Here is a 19,532-nt window from a genome sequence, read left to right on the forward strand (position 1 = left end):
TACAGCTGACCCACCCACCCTCTCACTCTTACTACCCCCTAACCCAAGCCCAGGGAACTTCCCCAGATCCCCCTACTCCCAGCCCTTCCATGCCACCATCTTCCTGGGATGACTGCTGCGGCCTCCTCAGGTCATCAGGGACCTGCCCTTGCCCAGCTAGGCCACCCACCCCACCAGGCCCCTCTCCTGGGCCTCACCCTACCTAAGACCCTCCATGGCTCACATTGCCCATGGACGAAGAGCCGACTCCCAGAGCAGCTGGATTGATGTGTACCTGCATGCGCTAGGACTGGCCAGTCCAGCCACCAGTCTTGGTGCGGCCCTGAGCACACACTCTGCCCCAGGAGACTTACCTGCCTATGGGCCTCACATGGGCCGTCTCTTACCTTGGCCTCTTCTGCCCGCAGCGTGTATCTGTCAGGTTGGGTCCTGCTCATCTTCTAAGATGTGTTGCCGAGGTCATTTCCAGGAACACCTTGCTGCACCGTCCCCCAGCATTGCTTTTAGAAGCTTGAGCTGGACCTGTCCTTTTGCTTGCCGACTTTCCCACCTAGTATCCAGGAATAACCTCCACAGGGTGGCTGTCTTCATGCGTCTGTCCTGCACAGGAGGCTGCCTGTTGCCCTCTAGCCAGCTTGGAGCTGCAGCCAGCCCAAGGCTCTCCCTTCTCACCTGGCTGCCTGTTTTTCTTCTCTCCTAGCTGTCACCCTAGGGTGGCCCCAGCAAGCTCATGTTTCTTTGGCGGCAGCCTCACAGCATCTCAGGGACGTGGCAGAGGAGTCTCAGGCTTCACCTTTCACAATCTGGTTTCTACCCTGACCCCACTATGTTGGTCGAGGCCCCAGGCTGCAGTGGAACAATGCCAATGCAGAGAGGCCCAGAGAGGGCCGCAGGGGCTGACGCCACCCCAGACAAACCCACCTCAGATGGAGGCTGGCCTCTGAGTAGCCCAGGCCAGACTCCGGAGGGGCATGAGGGTGCACCCACCTTTCCTGCCACTCATGGAGGGTCTGCTCACCTACTTCGTGGCAAGCACTGTCTCTAGGCAGAGCACACAGCACAAGAAGCTCCTGCCCAGAAGGAGCTGACAGGAACCTATCAACCAAGAACTGGGCAGGAAAGACAGTGGTGAAGGCCTCTCTGAAGAGGTGACATTTCACAGGGATCCGGGGAAGAAGTTCCAGGCAGAGCAGAAGCAATAGCCAGTGCAAGATCCCAGAGGTGGGAAGGGGCTCGGCGTCCAAGGGGCAGAAGCGGCCTTGTGTCCACAGTGCCACAGTGGTCCAGGGCCTGCAGGTGGAGATCGGAGGTGTCCTGGTTAGGCAGGGACACAAACCCCTGATCTCTGGTAAAGGGCCCTTGGGGCAGAGCACTGGCCAAGGCCACCTGCTCACCCCCAGCCATTGTTCTGCTTTCCCAGGGGAAGAATGGCAGGATCTCATTAATTGTGTGTGAGAAGAGCCTGAGTCTGCAGAAAAGCCAAGTTTATCTTGAGCAGCTGCTGGCTGACCCTGCCCCAGGGTAATCCCGTGACCTTCCAAGGATAAGCTAAATTTAGGCTCAAGATTCCTGGGGATTTGGGTTTGGGAAACTCCTAGTTAACAGATTTGATTTCAGGGGAAGTGAAGAACAGCGTTTCTTCTATCTTTCAGTTTTGAAACAGTTAAGGATGTGTCCTTCTATTTCCGCAAATGTTTGCAGAGCCTCCAAGCACAGTGTGGCCTGGTGCTCTTTCTTGACACAAGCCAGTACTCCTGCAGGCCGAGAGCAGCAGCTGGGGTCCTCCTGCATCCCTGACCACTGCACCAGGTGCCCGAGGCACCCTGTGTGGGGCCCCTGGGCGGCTGTGACGATGTGAGCAGCATCCAGAGTGGACAGTGCCAGACTCGGCGGTTTTGCGGGCATTGTTGTTACTCTTTGTGGTTAAACACAGGCATGGAGTCAGATTCGCTCCCGCAAGCAAGAAACTTTCTGGACTAGTGAGGTGGCCTCTCTGCCTTAGTTCCTCACTGGTAACGAAGCCCCCCAATGGTGGAGGCTGCGAGGCTGCAGGGGAGGCCGATGCCAGTCCCGGTTCTCTTCTGCCTTTCCTGAGTGCCATCCACCCAGGCTCCCAGGGCCTTCACAGCTCATCCAACCTCAGCCGCACCCCTCAGGGTAGTCATCGCTGGCTGTTAGTCAGAATTGGAGGTCACTGTGGCTTTAACTTCCCCAGCGGGTGAGGGAGTGGGGGGCAGGGAGCTCTGGTGTGATCCACGAAGGGTCAAGGGTTCTATAGAATGGCAAGCCAGGCCAAGCGCAGTGGCTCACGCCTGTAATTCCATTCAGGAGGCCGAGGTGGGCGGATCACTTGAGGTCAGGAGTTTGAGACCAGCCTGTCCAACACGGTGAAACCCCGTCTCTACTAAAAATACTAAAATTAGCTGGGCGTGGTGGCACGCACCTGTAATCCGTTACTCGGGTAGCTGAGGTGGGAGAATCCCTTGAACCTGGGAGGCAGAGGTTGCAGTGAGCCGAGATCATGCCATTGCACTCCATCCTGGGCAACACAGCAAGACTCCATCTCAAAAAAAAAAAAAAGTCCACCAAAGTACATCATAAACCAAATTTCGTAAAACTGGTGCTAAAGAGAAAGTCTTAAAAGCATGGAGAGGAAAGGCCGGGCGCAGTGGCTCAGGCCTGTAATCCCAGCACTTTGGGAGGCCGAGGCGGGCGGATCACCTCAGGTCAGGAGTTCGAGACCAGCCTGACCAACATGGAGAAACCCCGTCTCTACTAAAAACACAAAAAATCAGCCGGGGGCTTGGTGGCAGGCGCCTGTAATCCCACCTACTCAGGAGGCTGAGGCAGGAGAATGGCGTGAACCCAGGAGGCGGAGCTTGGAGTGAGCCGAGATTGTGTCACTGCACTCCAACCTGGGCAACAGAGTGAGACTCCGTCTAAAAAACAAAACAAAAAAAAGCATGGAGAGGAAAAAGACACATTGTGTGCAGAGGAATCAAGAAGAAGGAGATTTCTTGTTGGAAACAGTGCAAGCAAGAAGATAGTGTAGCAATATCTTTAAAGTACTGCAAGAAAAAAATCCCTGTAACCTAAAATTCTTTTTCTTTTTTCTTTTTAGACCGGGTTTCACTTTGTCATCGAGGCTGCAGTGCAGCGGCACAAACATGGTTCACTGCAGCCTCAGCCTCCGGGTTCAAGGGATCCTCCCGCTTCAGCCGCCCAAGCACCCAAATAGCTAGGACTACAGGCGTGCGCCACCACACCCGGCTAATTTATTTTATTTTATTTTTGTTTTTTAAATTTTTTGTAGCGATGGGGTTTCACCATGTTGTGCAGGCTGGTCTCAAACTCCTGAGCTCAAGTGATCCATTTGCCAATCCCAGTGCTCGGATTACAGCGTGAGCCACCACGCCCAGCCTTAACCTAAATTCTATACTCACCAAAAATGTATTCCAAAAATGAAGGCAATACCACATCCATGGATGAGCCTGAAAAAAATAAATGAAGGCAGCTGGGTATGGTGGCTCACGCCTGTCATCCCAGCACTTTGGGAGGCTGAGACAGGTGGATCACCTGAGGTCAGGAGTTTGAGACCAACCTGGCCAACATGGTGAAACCCTGTCTCTACTAAAAATACAAAAATTAGCTATGTATGGTAGCAGGTGCCTGTAATTCCAGCTACTTGAGAGGCTGAGGCAGGAGAATCGCTTGAACCCAGGAGACGGAGGTTGCAGTGAGCTGAGATTGCACCACTGCACTCCAGCTGGCATGACAGGGCGAGACTCCATCTCAGAAAACAAAAACAAAAAAAATGTTTTTAAATAAAGACAAAACAGACTTCTGCTTCCTAGAAGACAGATAAACATATGTTTCCCTATTCCTTCCACAAAAAAACCCTAAATGTTATAAATAAAGCAAACATAAGAAGATGCTAAGTGTTACAAAGAAGGCAGACAAGCTAGAGACTTAGAGCCAAGGACGAAATGGTGGTGTTTCTCTGGGTTGCCTTTTTGTTTTTTTTTTTCTTATTTTATTTATTTATTTTAGAAATAGTTCTCATTCTGTCACCCAGGCTGGAGTGCAGGGACACAACCATAGCTCACTGCAACTTTGAACTCCTAGGCTCAAGTGATTCTCCCACCTCAGCCTCCCAAGTAGCTGGGACTACAGGTATGCACCACCACCCACCTAATACTTTTAAAAAATTTTTGTAGAGACGGTCTTGCAATGTTGCTCAGGCTGATCTTATAACTCCTGGTCTCAAGGGATCCTCCTGCCTCAGCCTCCCAAAGCACTGGGATGACAGGCATGAGCCACCATGCCCAGCCTCCTGGGTTATCTTTTTGACTCATGTATCCCAGACTGCATACAGAGGAGCTGGCCACCCAGAAACACCAATGGGTACAGGCAAAAAATAAGTCCTAAGCAAAGCCGGTTCTGTCTAGCCAAAAGATCAGGACAAAGACAGACTAACAAGACAAAAATATTTTAGACAATAACCACTCTACTCAAGCTATACTACTACAGAAAAAAACTGTGGCCCCAACCCTGCCCTCAATAGCAAAGACCAGTGGGGAGCTTAGACTCCTACCCTTGCCAGGCTGTAATGAGATGCTCCAGCCTCCTACTGGGGTGTCAGAGGAGGCCAAGGAAGACTTGGGTGGAAATAGGTCCCCCTCCCTGACCACAGTGTCAGTGGAGACCACATGGGGAGCCTGGACTTCCACTCCTAATGTGGTAATAAGGGCCCCCTCCAGGTCCTCACTATGGTACTGTCAGAGGAACCTAGCAGAGGGTAAGGACATTCTTCATTTTCCAGAGGTGATGAGGCTCTCCCTGCCCACACATGGTGCCAGTGGAGGCCACGTGGGGATCAGCAGCAGGCATTCCTCCCATCCATGCCTGGGGTATCACAAGAGGCCGAGTGGGGAGCAGGAACTCCCAGCCCCACCCAGCAGTCACAAGGATCCCCGTGGCCCCAGGTGTCAATGGAGGTAGGGTGGAGAACCTGGACTTCCACTTCTGCCTGGCAGTAAAGTGTCCCCTGTCATTGCCAGAATGGTGTCAGAGGAAGCTTGCTAAAATACAAGATTTAAATAAGATCCACAGTCTTGTAATAACCAAATTATCCAAGTTTTGATTGAAAATAAGTCATCAGGCTGGGCGGGGTGTCTCACGCCTGTAACCCAGCACTTTGGGAGGCTGAGGCCGGCAGATCATGAGGTCAGGAGATTGAGACCATCCTGGCCAACATGGTGAAATGCCATCTCTACTAAAAATCCAAAAAAATTAGCCAGGCATGGTGGCACACGCCTCTAGTCCCCGCTACTCAGGAAGCTGAGGCAGGAGAATTGCTTGAACCTGGGAGGCAGAGGCTGCAGTAAGCCGAGATCATGCCACTGCACTCCAGCCTGGGCAACAGATCAAGACCCTATCTCAAAAAAAAAAAAAAAAAAAAAAAGAAAAGTCATCATACCAAGTATCAGTAAGATATTAAACTAAATTGGCCAGGTACAATGGCTCATGCCTGTAATCCCAGCACTTTGGGAGGCTGTGGGCAGATCGCTTGAGGTCAGGTGTTCGAGACCAGCCTGGCCAATATGGTGAAACCCTGTCTCTACAAAAAATTAGCCAGGCTTGGTGGTGCACCCCTGTAGTCCCAGCTACTCCAGAGGCTGAGGCATGAGATTAGCTTGAGCCTGGGAGGCGGAGGTTGCCGTGAGCTGAGATCGTGCTACTGCACTCCTCCTGGGCAACAGAGCAAGACCCCGCCTCAAAAAAAAAAAAAAAGAAAGAAAGAAAGAAAATCGACAAAGATGGCAATGTCACAGATGTGAGAATTACTTCATATTTCAAAGCAGAAATGATAAAAATGCTTCAGTGAGCAATTACAGATATGCTTGAAACAAATGAAAATATAGAAAGTCTTACAAAGAAATAAGAACCACATAGAAATTTTAGAACTAGGCCAGCCATGGTGGCTCATGCCTGTAATCCTAGCACTTTGGGAGGCCGAGGTAGATGCATTGCCTGAGCTCAGGAGTTCGAGACCAACCTGGGAAACATGGTGAAACCCTGTCTCTACTAAAATACAAAAAAATTAGCTGGGCGTGGCGGCGTGCACCTGTAATCCCAGCTACTCAGGAGGCTGAGAGAGGAGAATTTCCAGAACCCAGGAGGCAGAGATTGCAGTGAGCTGAGATCGTGCCACTGTACTCCAGCCTGGGTGACACAGCGAGACTCTGTCTCTGAAAAAAAAAAAAAAATTTAGAACTAAAATACAGTAACCAAAATTAAAAAAAAAAAAAAAGGTCATTGGGGCTGGGCGTGGTGGCTCACGCCTGTAATCCCAGTACTTTGGGAGGCCGAGGCGGGCGGATCACGAGGTCAGGATCCTGGCTAACAAGGTGAAACCCCGTCTCTACTAAAAATACAAAAAAATTAGCTGGGGGTGGTGGAGGGCACCTGTAGTCCCAGCTACTCAGGAGGCTGAGGCAGGAGAATGGCGTGAACCTGGGAGGTGGAGCTTGCAGTGAGCCAAGATTGCGCCACTGCACTCCAGCCTGGGCGACAGAGCAAGACTCCGTCTCAAAAAATAATAATAATAAAAAGGTCATTGGATATCAGCTGGACAGCAACATGGAAGGGACATAGGAAACTATTGGTGAATTGGAAGCTAGAACAGTGCAATTTTCCCATCTGGGCCAGCCACAGTGGCTCACACCTGTAATCCTAGCAGTTTGGGAGGCTGAGGCAGGAGGATTGCTTGAGGCCAGGAGTTAAAGACCAACTGGCCAACACAGTGAGACGTGTCTCTATTAAAAACAAAATTTTAACCCAATTATCCCATCTGAACAAGAGAGAGAAAATCACTGAAAAAATAAGAATAAACAAAGGCTCAGAAAATGTGAGATCATAACAAAAGACCTAACATCCATGTCATGAGAGTGCCAAAAGGAGAGGAGAAAGGGGGTGGGGTTAACAAAGCATTCAAAGAAATAATAGCTGGAAATTTCCTGAATTTAGCAAAAAGAAAAAGAGAGAGAAAAAAACCCTACAGATTCAAGAAGTTAAGTGAGGCCGGGTGCGGTGGTTCACACCTTTGGGGGCCAAGATGGGTGGACCGCTTGAGCCCAGGAGTTCAAGACCAACCTGGGCAACACAGTGAGACCCCTGTCGAGAGAGAGAGAGGAGAAAAATTAAATGGAACCTTAAACATGATAAACTCAAAGAAATCCACACTAAAACATCTTTTTTTTTGGAGACAGATTATTGCTGTGTCGCCCAGGTTGGAGTGCAGTGGCACGATCTCGGCTCACTCCAACCTCTGCCTCCTGGGTTCAAGAGATTCTTCTGCCTCAACCTCCCAAGTAGCTGGGACTACAAGCACATGCTGCCATGTCCAGCTCATTTTTTTTGTATTTCAGTAGAGACAGGGTTTCACCGTATTGCCCAGGCTGATCTTGAACTCCTGAGCTCAGGTGATCTGGCCTCCTCAGCCTCCCAAAGTGCTAGGATTACAGGCGGCAGCCACCGCTCCAGGCCCAAAACATCTTAATTGAACTTCTGAAACCTAAAGACAATGCAGCTAGACAGAAAAATGACACCTCACCTATTGGAGAAGAAAATGAATCAAATGACAGAGAATTTCTCTTCAGAAACCAGGGAGACCAGAAGAAAGTAGCACATTTTTTAAGTGCTGAAAGAAAAAAAAAAAAATCTCAATCCAGAATTCTATGTCTAGTGAGCATATTATTCAAGAATGAAGGGGGAAAATTTTTTTTTCAAGTGAAGGAAAATGAAGAGAATTTATTGCCAGCAATATATGCTGAAAGAATGCTAAAGGATGTTCCTTAAACAGAAAGGAAATGGTAAAATAAGAGTCTTGGAACATCAGGAAGGAAGAAAGAACATGATAAGCAAAATACTGGTAAATATTAATACAATAGATTTTCTTCCTCCTCTTGAGTTTCCTAAATTATGTTTGATGGCTGAAGCAAAAATTATTACACTGCCTTAAGTGGTTCTCAATGTATGTAGAGGAAATATCTAAGATATATAATTATATTATAAATGGGGGAGGGTAACAAGACATTAAGGGAGGTAAGGTTTTTTGTTTGTTTGTTTGTTCGTTTTTGAGATGGAGTCTGGCTCTGTCATCCAGGCTGGAGTACAGTGGCAAGATCTCGGCTCACTGCAACCTCTGCCTCCCGGGTTCAAGTGATTCTCCTGCCTCAGCCTCCCAAGTAGCTGGGACTACAGGCGCCCGCCACCAGGCCTGGCTAATTTTTGTATTTTTAGTAGAGACAGGGTTTCACCACATTGGCCAGGCTAGTCTCAAACTCCTGACCTCAGGTTATCCGCCTGCCTCAGTCTCCCAAAGTGCTGGGATTACAGGCATGAGCCACCATGCGCAGCTGGGAGGTAAGGTTTTTTTTTTTGTTTTTTGTTTGTTTGTTTGTTTGTTTGTTTTTGAGATGGAGTCTTGCTCTGTTGCCCAGGCTGGAGTGCAGTGGCGCAATCTCGGCTCTCTGCAAGCTCCACCTCTGGGTTCACGCCATTCTCCTGCCTCAGCCTCCCGAGTAGCTGAGACTACAGGCGGCTGCCACCAAGCCTGGCTAATTTTTTTTGTATTTTTAGTAGAGATGGGGTTTCACCGTGTTAGCCAGGATGGTCTCAATCTCCTGACCTCATGATCCACCCACCTTGGCCTCCCAAAGTGCTGGGATTACAGGCATGAGCCACCATGCCCGGCCACCGGGAGATAAGGTTTTTTACACTTCATTCCAACTGGTAAAATGTTGACACCTGGAGACTTTGATTATATAATATAAATTTTATATATATTTATCCTACAGCAACCACTAAAAAGCTATACAAAGGTATCAAGAAGAAAAAAAAAATAACAAATGCTGGTGAGGTTGCAGAGAAAAGAGAACTCTTATACACTCTTGGTGGGAAAGTGCACCCATCTGGTACCATAAACTAGCCCAACCACAATAGAGAACAGCACGGAGGGTCCTCATAAAAACTGCACATAGAAATACCATACCATCTAGCAACTCCATGACTGGGCATTAATCCAAAGGAAGGAAGTCCGTTTATCAAAGACACATCTGCACCCTTATGTTTACCGCAGCACTGTTCACTAGCCAAGACATGGAATCAACCTAGGTGTTCAACAGCAGAGGAATGGATAAAGAAAAGTTGGTACATATACACAATGAATACTATTCAGCCATTAAAAAAAAAAAAAAGAAATCCTGTCATTCATGGCAACATAAATGGAACTGGAGAACAATATGTTAAGTGAAACGAGCCAGGAACAGAAAGGTTATTTATTTATTTATTTTTCACTTATTTATTTATTTATTGAGACAGAGTCTTGCTCTGTTGCCCGGGCTGGAGTGCAATGGCATGATCTTGGCTCACTGCAACTTCTGCCTCCTGGGTTCAAGCAATTCTCCCACCTCAGCCTCTCAAGAAGCTGGGATTACAGGAGCGTGCCACCATGCCTGGCTAATTTTTGCATTTTGAGTAGTGACGGGGTTTCACCGTGTTAGCCAGGTTGGTCTCAAACTCCTTACCTCATGATCTGCCCGCCTCAGCCTCCCAAAGTGCTGGGATTATAGGCATGAGCCACTGTGCCCGGCTGATGTTTTATTTTTTAGAGATGGGGTCTCACAATGTTGCCCAGGCTGGTCTCAAACTTCTGGGTTCAAGTGATCCTCCTGCCTCACCCTCCCAAAGTGCTGGGATTTCAGGGAGGAGCCACCACACACAGCTAAGACAGAGTTAAACACCACATATTCTTATTCATATGTAGCAGCTTAAAAAAGTTGATCTTGGCTGGGTGCAGTGGCTCATGCCTGTAATCCCAGCACTTTGGGAGGCCGAGGGCGGGTGGATCACGAGGTCAGGAGATCGAGACCATCCTGGCTAACACGGTGAAACTCCATCTCTACTAAAAATACAAAAAATAATAATAATAATAATTAGCCAGGTGTGGTGGCGGGCACCTGTAGTCCCAGCTACTCGGGAGGCTGAGGCAGGAGAATGGTGTGAACCTGGGAGGCGGAGCTTGCAGTGAGCCAAGATTGCGCCACTGCACTCCAGCCTGGGCAACAGAGCGAGACTCCGTCTCAAAAAACAAACCAAAAAAAAGATAAATAAAAAATAAAAATAAGTAATAAAAATAAAAAACAATAAAAATTAAAAATTAAAAAGTATATTTAAAAAGAGGTAGAGCTATATGCACTGACCTGGACATATCTCTAACAGATCTTATTTAGGGAAAAAAATCATTCAAGTTTATCACATTACATATACAATGATACTGTGTAAACTTAAATTCCCACAAAAATGAAACTATGTAATTTTTTTTGTTTTGTTTCATTTTGTTGTTGTTTTTTAGTGAGACAGAGTCTCACTCTGTTACCCAGGCTGGAGTGCAGTGGCATGAACATGGCTCACTGCAGCCTCTACTTCCCGGGTTCAAGCAATCCTCCCACTTCAGCCTCACAAGGAGCTGGGACCACAAGTGTGCACCACCACGCCTGCCTAATTTTTGTATTTTTCTGTAGAGAGGGGGTTTTGCCATGTTGCCTAGGCTGGTCTCAAACTCTTAGGCTCAAGCAATCCTCTGCCTCGGCCTCCTAAAGTGCTGGGATTACAGGTGTGAGCCACCTGGCCAAAACTATGCACTTTTTTTTTTTTTTTTTTTTTTTTTTTTGAGAAAGAGTCTCGTTCTGTCGCCAAGCTGGAGTGCAGTGGCAGGATCTCAATTCACTGCAAGCTCCGCCTCCCGGGTTCAAGCGATTCTACCTCGGCCTCCTGAGTAGCTGGGACTACAGGCGTGTGCCACCACACCCAGCTAACTTTTGTATTTTTAGTAGAGATGGGGTTTCACCATGTTTGCCAGGCTGGTCTCGAACTCCTGACCTTATGATCCACCCACCTGAGCCTCCCAAAGTGCTGGGATTACAGGCGTGAGCCACCGTGCCCAGCCCCAACTATGTACTTTTATGTTTATTTTTATGAATACAAATGGACAGATAAAAGTCTAAGGCATAGATGCCAAATTGATATCTATTATTGCCTATGTGTAGGAGACTCTGGGATTTACTGGGGGAGACATCAGGGATTTTTTACTTTCTTTGTATTCTGTACTTTTTCTATATTTCACGACTTTCTATATTGTTTGAAAGTTTACAACATAAATGTATTTACATCTTACCTACAAAATTATTATTTCTTTAATGAACAGTTGTAGCTTATATATAATTCCTTCAGAATAAATAAATAAAAGAAAGGAAGAACACGGGGGAAAAGCTATACAAAGAGACACACTCAAAAACACTGTAGATAACTCAAAATGTAATTTTTTTTTTTTTTTTTTGAGACGGGGTCTCACTCTGTTGCCGCCCAGGCTGGAGTGCCGTGGCGCAATCTCGGCTCACTGCAACCTCCGCCTCCCAGGTTAATGACATTCTCCTGCCTCAGCCTCCCAAGTAGCTGGGATTACAGGCACCCCCCACCATGCCCGGCTCATTTTTTGTATTTTTAGTAGAGATGGGATTTCACTGTGTTAGCCAAGATGGTCTCGATCTCCTGACCTTGTGATCCGCCCGCCTCGGCCTCCCAAAGTGCTGGAATTAACAAGTGTGAGCTACGGTGGCCGGCCTCAAAATGTAATTTTAAGGAATATTCAAGTAAGCCACAGGAAAGCAGGGAAAAGTAAAGAGAAATGAACAAAAAGAGACACAACAAACAAAAAAATAAAAATAAAATAGCACTCTTGGGCCAGGCGCGGTGGTTCATGCCTATAATCTGAGCACTTTGGGAGGTGGAGGCGGGCAGATTACTTGAGGCCAGGAGTTTGAGACCAGCCTGGCCAACATTGCAAAACCCCATCTCTACTAAACATACAAAAACTAGCCAGTCATGGTGGTGCCCACCTGTAATCCCAGCTACTGGGGTGCCTGAGGCATGAGAATCGCTTGAACCCAGGAGGCCAAGAGGCAGAGGTTGCAGTGAGCTGAGATCACACCACTGCACTTCAGCCTGTGACAGAGCAAGCAAGTAGGCAGGCAGGCAGAGAGAAAGGAAGAAAAGAAGGAGAGACGGAGAGAGGGAGGGTGGAGGGGGGAGGGAAGGAGGAAGGAGGGAAGGAAGGAAGGAAGGAAGGAATAATTACTAGAACAAAGACATTACATAATGATGAAAGGGTCAATTCACCAAGAAGACACAGCAATTCTAAATATATAGGCACCAAACAACAGAGCTTCAAAATATGTGAGGCAAAACTGATAAAACTAAATGGAGATATAGATAAATGAACAATTGTAGTTGAAGCTTCAACATTTCTCTCTCAAAAATTGATAGAAAAAGTAGACAGAAAATCAACAAGAAGACAGAATCTCAAACACCATCAACTAACAGGATTTACTCCACATTTACAGAGCACTACCTAACAGCAGTGGATACACATTCTTTTCTAGTGCCCACAGAACCAACCATATCTTGGGCCGTAAAGAAACCTCAAAATCAATGAAACCAAAAGTTGGTTCTTTGAAAAGTTCAACAAAATTGACAAATCTTCAGCTAGATTGACCTAAAAAGAGGGAGGAAACCCAAATTACCTAAATCCGGAATGAAAGAAGAGATATCACTTGTGGGCTTACACAAATAAGAGTGATTTTATTTATTTATTCTACTTTATTTTATTTTTTTGAGATGGAGTCTCACTCTGTCACCTAGGCTGGAATACAGTGGTGTGATCTCAGCTCACTGCAACCTCCACCTCCTGGGTTCAGGTGACTCTCCTGCCTCAGCCTCCCGAGTAGCTGGGATTACAGGTGCCCACCAACATGCTGGGCTAATTTTTGTATTTTGTATTTTTAGTAGACACGGGGTTTCACCATGTTGGCCAGGCTGATCTCGAACTCCTGACCTCAGGTGATCCGCTGGCCTTGGCCTCCCAAAGGGCTGGGATTACAGATGTGAGCCACAACACCTGACCAAAATAGTGATTTTAGAGGAATACTATGAACAGTTGTATGCCAACAAATTAGTTAACCTAGATGAAATTGACCAATTCTTAGAAACATAGACTACCAAACCTGACTCAAAAAGAAATAGAAAATCTGAATAGATCTATAACAAGCAAATATAATACAAAAAATTAGCCGGGCATGGTGGCAGATGCTTGTAATCCCAGCTACTCGGGAGGTTGAGGCAGGAGAATCACTTGAACCCAGGAGATGGAGGTTCCAGTGAGTCAAGATCGCACCATTGCACTCCAGTCTGGGCAACAAGAGCGAAACTCCATCTCAAAAACAAACAAGCAAACAAACAACAACAACAAAAAACACAAGCAAATATAACAAACAAACGGATTGAGTTAGGAAAAAGAAAAAAAAAAATCCAACAAAGAAAAGTCTAGGACCAGATGGCTTCACTGGTAAATTCTACCAATTTTTTTTTTTTTTCGATGGAGTCTCGCTTTGTTGCCCAGGCTGGAGTGCAGTGGCGCAATCTCAGCTCACTGCAACCTCCACCTTCCGGGTTCACGCCATTCTCCTGCCTCAGCCTCCCAAGTAGCTGGGATTACAGGTGTCTGCAACCATGCCCAGCTAATTTTTGTATCTTTAGTACAGACAGGGTTTCGCCATGTTGGCCAGGCTGGTCTCGAACTCCTGACTTCATGTGATCCACCCGCCTCGGCCTCCCAAAGTGGTGGGATTACAGGCGTCAGCCATGGCGCCCGGCCCTATCAAATGTTTAAAAAACAACTAGCACCAATCCATCTCAAACTCTCTTACGAAAAAGAAAAAAAAGAGAGAGGGAATTCAATCCATTCTATGAAACCAATATTACTTTGACACCAAAAGTAAAGCAAAAAAAAAGAAGAAGAAGAAAGGAAAAAGAGAGAGGAAACTACAGACCAATATTCCACATGAATATAGATGCAAACATTCTTAACATTTTATAAAATAAATTCAGCCGTATATAAAAATAATTATACACCATGATCAAGTGGGATTTATTCCTAGAATACAAGCTTGGTTCAACTTCCAAAGATCAATCAATGTATACCAATGTAAGCTAAAGAAGAAAAATCACATGATTATATTAATTGACACAAAAGAAGCATTTGATGAAATTCAACACCCATTCATGATAAAAGCTGCTGGTAACCAGTAATAGAAACTTCCTCAACTTGATAAACAGTGTCTACAAAAAACCTACAGCTAAAAATTATACTTAATAGTGGAAAGCTGAATACTTTTCTGTGAAAATTAGGGACAAGGCAAAAATTCTGCCTTCACTACTCTTACTCAGTATAGTGCTGGAAGTTCCAGACATCACAGAAAGGGGAGAAAAGGAAAGAGATAGAGATCAGAAAGGAAAAACCAAAGCTGCTTCTATTTGCAGATGACATAAATCAATTCCCATGGAATCTTTTAAAAAGCCTTAGAACCAACAAATGAGTTTAGCAAGATACAAGGATTCAAGATCAACATACAAAAATCAATTGCTATTTCTATGTTCTAGCAATGAGCACATGAAAACCAAAATAAAAAATAATATCATTTGCAATCACTCAAAAAATGAACTAGGTGTAAATCTAACCAAATATGGGTTTGTATGGATAAGGACTTGTATGCTGAAAACTACAAAACCCTGGTGAAAGAAATCAAAGAAGATGTAAATAAATAGAGAGGTATGGCCTGTTAATGGACTGGAAAACTCAACATGGTGAAGATGTGAATAGTTCGATTCCTTTCAAAATTCTAGAAAGATTTCTTGGCCAGGCACGGTGGCCCATGCCTGTAATCCCAGCACTTTGGGAGGCCGAGGAGGGCGGATCATGAGGTCAGGAGTTTGAGACCAGCCTGACCAACATGGTGAAACCCCGACTCTACTAAAAATACAAAAATCAGCTGGGCGTGGTTGTGTGTGCCTGTAGTCCCAGCTACTGGGGAGGCTGAGGCAGGAGAATCACTTGAACCTGGGAGGCAGAGGTTGCAGTGAGCCAAGATCACGCCACTGCACTCCAGCCTGGACAACAAAGCGAGACTCCGTCTCAAAAAAAAAAAAAAAAGAAAAAGAAAGATTTCTTATAGATATAGGCAAGATTATTCTAAAATTTATAAGAAAAAGCAAAAGAATTAAAATAGTTAAAACAATTCCAAAAAAGAAGAATAAAGTGGGAAGAGTCACTCTACCAAATTTCAAGATTTGTATAGACTGTTTGGCATTGGTGAAGGGATAGATACATTTTGTTCAATGAAACAGCCTAGAGAACCCAGAAACAGCCCCATGCAAGTATAGCTGGCTGATTTTTGACAAGCATGTACAAGCAATTCAATGATACAAAGGAATCGAAACCAGGAACTCAAACAGACATTTGTACCTCAGTGTTCATAGCAGCATCATTCACAACACCCCAAAGGTGGAAAAACCCAAATATCCATCAGTGAATAGCAAGATAAACAAATAACCAAACCTAAAAGTGGCATATCCATACAATGGAACTTTATTCAGCCTTAAAAAGAAAGAAGATTCCAGTACATGCCACAACATAGATGAACCTTAAAGACATGATACCAGGTGAAATAAACCAAACGCAAAAGGACAAATACCGTATGATTCCACTGACATGAGGGAGAGGCCTGGAGTAGTCAAATTCATGGAGACAGAAAGTGGAATGGGGATTGCCGGGGTGGGGGCGTGGGACAGAGTGCAAAATAGGGCTTTTCTGTATCTATTGAAATTTTGTTGCTGTTGTTGTTTTATTCTGTTAATGTCGTGATTCACACTATGTAATTTTATATCAACCCTGTATTTTTGCGATAAACCCAACTTAGTCATGATGATTTATGTTGTTTTTTTCTTTTTTGAGACGGAGTCTCACTCTGTCGCCCAGGCTGGAGCCATCTCGGTTCACTGCAACCTTCACCTCTCGGGTTGAAGAGATTCTCCTGCCTCAGCCTCCGAGTATCTGGGATTACAGGCGCGTGCCACCACTCTGCCTGGCTAATTTCTGTATTTTTAATAGAGACGGGGTTTTACCATGTCGGCCAGACTGGTCTTGAACTGCTGACCTCAGGTGATCCACCTGCCTCGGCCTCCCAAAGTGCTGGGATTACAGGCGTGAGCCACCGCGCCCAGCCAATTTCTGTATTTTTAATAGAGACGGGGTTTTACCATGTTGGCCAGGCTGGTCTTGAACTCCTGACCTCAGGTGATCTGCCTGCCTCGGCCTCCCAAAGTGTTGGGATTACAGGCGCGAGCCACCGCGCCTGGTCGATTTATCTTTTTTATACATTATTGGATTCAGTTTGCATCTCTGTTCATGAGTGAAATTTACCAGTAATTTTATTTTTTTGTCCTGTTCTTGTTCAGTTTGTATGTCAAGATTACGTTAGTTTTATAAAACTGAAGTGAAAGTGTTTCTCACTTTTCTATTCTCTGAAATAATTTGTACAAGGTTGGAATTATCTGTTTTTTGAAAGGCAGAATTTGCTTGCAAAGTTATTTTAACATTTTTGGGGGAGGAGGGGAATATTTTAAATTACTGATTACATTTCTGTAATTGTTGTTAAGACAATTGAGGTTTATTTCTTTTTTATTCCATTAAAAGAAACCTGTGTTTTTCCAAGAAATTATCCAGTTCATCTGTTTTCAAACTTGTTGGCATAAAGTTGATATAAGAGCCTCTTATATTTTCATATACTTGCTGACACACCCATGTTAAATCTGTTTTGTCCTGGTGTTTTTTATTTGTGCATCCTCTCTTCTTCTTGTTAATACTTCCAGAAGCTTGGCTTTATATTTGTATTTCCAACAAATCAATGTTTGACTTTGCTGCCTTAAATTTTATTTAATCTGATATTGACCAAATTAACAATTTTTCTCTTGGTTAGTCTTTGCACAGTATATCTTTCTTTCCCTTGACATTCAATTTTTCTTTTTCTTTCTTTTTCTTTTCTTTTCTTTTTCTTTTTCTTTTTTTTTTTTTGAGTCAGGGTCTCTGTCACGGAGGCTGGAGTGCAGTGGTGCAATCATAGCTCACTGCAGCCTCCAACTCCTGGGCTTAAGTGATCCTCCCAACTCAGCCTCCCAAGTAGCCGAGACCACAGGTGAAACACCACCACACCAAACTTCTTTTTCTTTTGCAGAGACAGGGTCTCACCATGTTGCCCAGGCTGGTCTTGAACTCCTGCCTCAAGCAATCTTCTGCCTTGGTCTCCCAAAGTGCTGGGATTACAGGCGTGAGCCATCACACCCAGCCCATTTGGGTTTATTTGTGACATTTTCTGCCCAGCTTTCCCACTCATTCCTCCTTTCTTGCATCTTTTGGGTGTGAGAGAGAGAATGTGTCTTTTTTTTTTTTTTTTTTTTTTTTTTTAGAGACGGAGTCTCGCTGTGTCACCAGGCTGGAGTGCAGTGGCAAAATTTCGGCTCACTGCAACCTCTGCCTCCCGGGTTCAAGCAATTCTCCTGCCTCAGCCTCCTGAGTAGCTGGGACTACAGGCACACGCCACCATGCCCGGTTAATTTTTGTATTTTTAGTAGAGACAGGGTTTCACCATGTTGGCCAAGCTGGTCTTGAACTCCTGACCTCAAGTGATCCACTCGCCTCAGCCTCCCAAAGTGTTGGGGTTACAGGCGTGAGCCACCGCACCCAGCCACGTGTGTGTCTTTTATTCCCTGCTTTCCCTTCTGCCTGTTTGGCACTTATAACTACTGTGCCTATTTCATGGATGCCCTCCAAAGTTAATATCTGAGGTTAATGTTTTTCCCTCCTCCCATTCCAATGGGTATTCTCCCAATACCAGAGCCTTAGCATGTATCACCTGCTACCAGCTCACATGCCATTGTTGCCCAGCGCACGTGCTGGGTGTACTGGTGTGCAGAGTCCAACGGGAGGGCTGGGAGAAGGCCCCCGACCTCCCTGCCCTCTCAGACTGTGGCCGCACCCAGCTTGCCAGACGGAGAGCCCAGGAGCAGGAAGCTGGTGTAAACACAGGGCGGGCACCCACACTGTTCCCAGGAGCCAGTCCTTAGATCCTATCTGGCTCTCACCCTGCCTTTGTCAAGCCCTCAGGACTTGGCACCCAGGTCTGATCTGGGTGGGCGTTTGTCCAAACAAGAAGTGAGCCAGAGCTGGACATCCAGGACCAGACCATACCACACAGAGGGCATGGGGACACTCTCCCAGGGCCTGCAGCCCTTCCCGGGGCTGCTCTTGGCAGCCCAGGCACCCTGGAGGATATGCAGTGCCTCTCTGCCCACCCACACCCCTCTGGGGCTGGCAGGGCCTGGAGTGTGCGTGGGCATGCAGACGCATACACATCTAGCCCTTGGCTCTCCTCATTGGACCCCTTCAGACACTCCTTTCTCTTCACACTTTTACGGAAAAGGCACAAGTGGGGATGTCCTGCCCTGTGACTGGCCTTGGCTGGCCTGGCCCCTGTAGCACACGCTGGTGGAAGGAATGTCCACAGTGCAGAAGGCGCTGCTGCAGACCGTGGGCTCACCCGTTCTCATTCCACCTGCAGGTGGACCAAGCCTGGGGTGGCGGGGACAGGCCCCACAGACTGAAGTGACAGGGGATGGAGAAGGGCTGGGGACAGAGGGGACACAGCCACCTACCTGGCAAGCTAAGAGGTCGGGAAGAGTAGCTGCCACTTACATGGGTTTAGACAAACAAACAGGAGTTCACCAGGGTGAAGGGAAACGGGAGACCTGGCTAAAAGCAGGAAAAAGTACCAGCATGGGAGCGGGGGCAACAGCAGAACCCCAGGGAGGGTCAGATGGGGTGCAGCGCCGGGAGGCCAGCCAGTTCCCTGGAAGAGAGTTTGCAGGACTAAAGCCTAGAGCCTAGATTGCTGCAAAGTTTCCCAGAAGCGGCTGTTGAACAATAGTCACGGCCGGGCACGGTGGCTCACACCTGTAATCCCAGCACTTTGGGAGGCCAAGGCGGGCGGATCACGAGGTCAGGAGATTGAGACCATCCTGGCTAACATGGTGAAACCCTGTCTCTACTAAAAATACAACAAAAATTAGCTGGGCATGGTGGCAGGCGCCTGCAGTCCCAGCTACTTGGGAGGCTGAGGCAGGAGAATGGCATGAACCTGGGAGGTGGAGCTTTTAGTGAGCCGAGATTGCGCCACTGCACTCCAGCCTGGGCGACAGAGCAAAACTCTGTCTCAAAAAAAAAAAAAAAAAAAAAAAAACAACAATAGTCACACGGCCACATCTAGCTGGGAGGAAAGGTGAAATATGTTTTAGCTGGGTGGCCACGACTAGTGAAACATGAGGCCTGTATTTTTGCTGGGGCAGTGAGCATCCTTGGCCACATGCTGGGCTCCAGGGGGACGGCCAGGGGCATTGGCCAGGGAAGGAGCCCAGGAGAGCAAACAGAACCTGCATACTCACTCCCCTCCCTCCCAGTCCCATTTAATCTAACTGTGAAGACAGTGAAAACTAATAAGCCCACAGTAAGAGGGGAAATACTC

General features: G+C 46.6%; 2 annotated features.

The window, feature by feature from the left end:
- Positions 12,342 to 12,542: a silencer, noted in NCBI's record as "peak4453 fragment used in MPRA reporter construct". NCBI's record gives its function as "represses an SCP1 promoter by STARR-seq MPRAs in K562 erythroleukemia cells {active_cell/tissue: K562}" and the evidence as "EXISTENCE:reporter gene assay evidence [ECO:0000049][PMID:32103011]".
- Positions 18,184 to 18,683: an enhancer, noted in NCBI's record as "H3K4me1 hESC enhancer chr22:19531837-19532336 (GRCh37/hg19 assembly coordinates)". NCBI's record gives its function as "activates a minimal SCP1, AML or CMV promoter by ChIP-STARR-seq in primed H9 embryonic stem cells {active_cell/tissue: H9 hESC(primed)}" and the evidence as "EXISTENCE:reporter gene assay evidence [ECO:0000049][PMID:30033119]".

Source organism: Homo sapiens, chromosome 22, assembly GCF_000001405.40.
Source record: "Homo sapiens chromosome 22, GRCh38.p14 Primary Assembly".
Taxonomy (NCBI): Eukaryota; Metazoa; Chordata; class Mammalia; order Primates; family Hominidae; genus Homo; species Homo sapiens.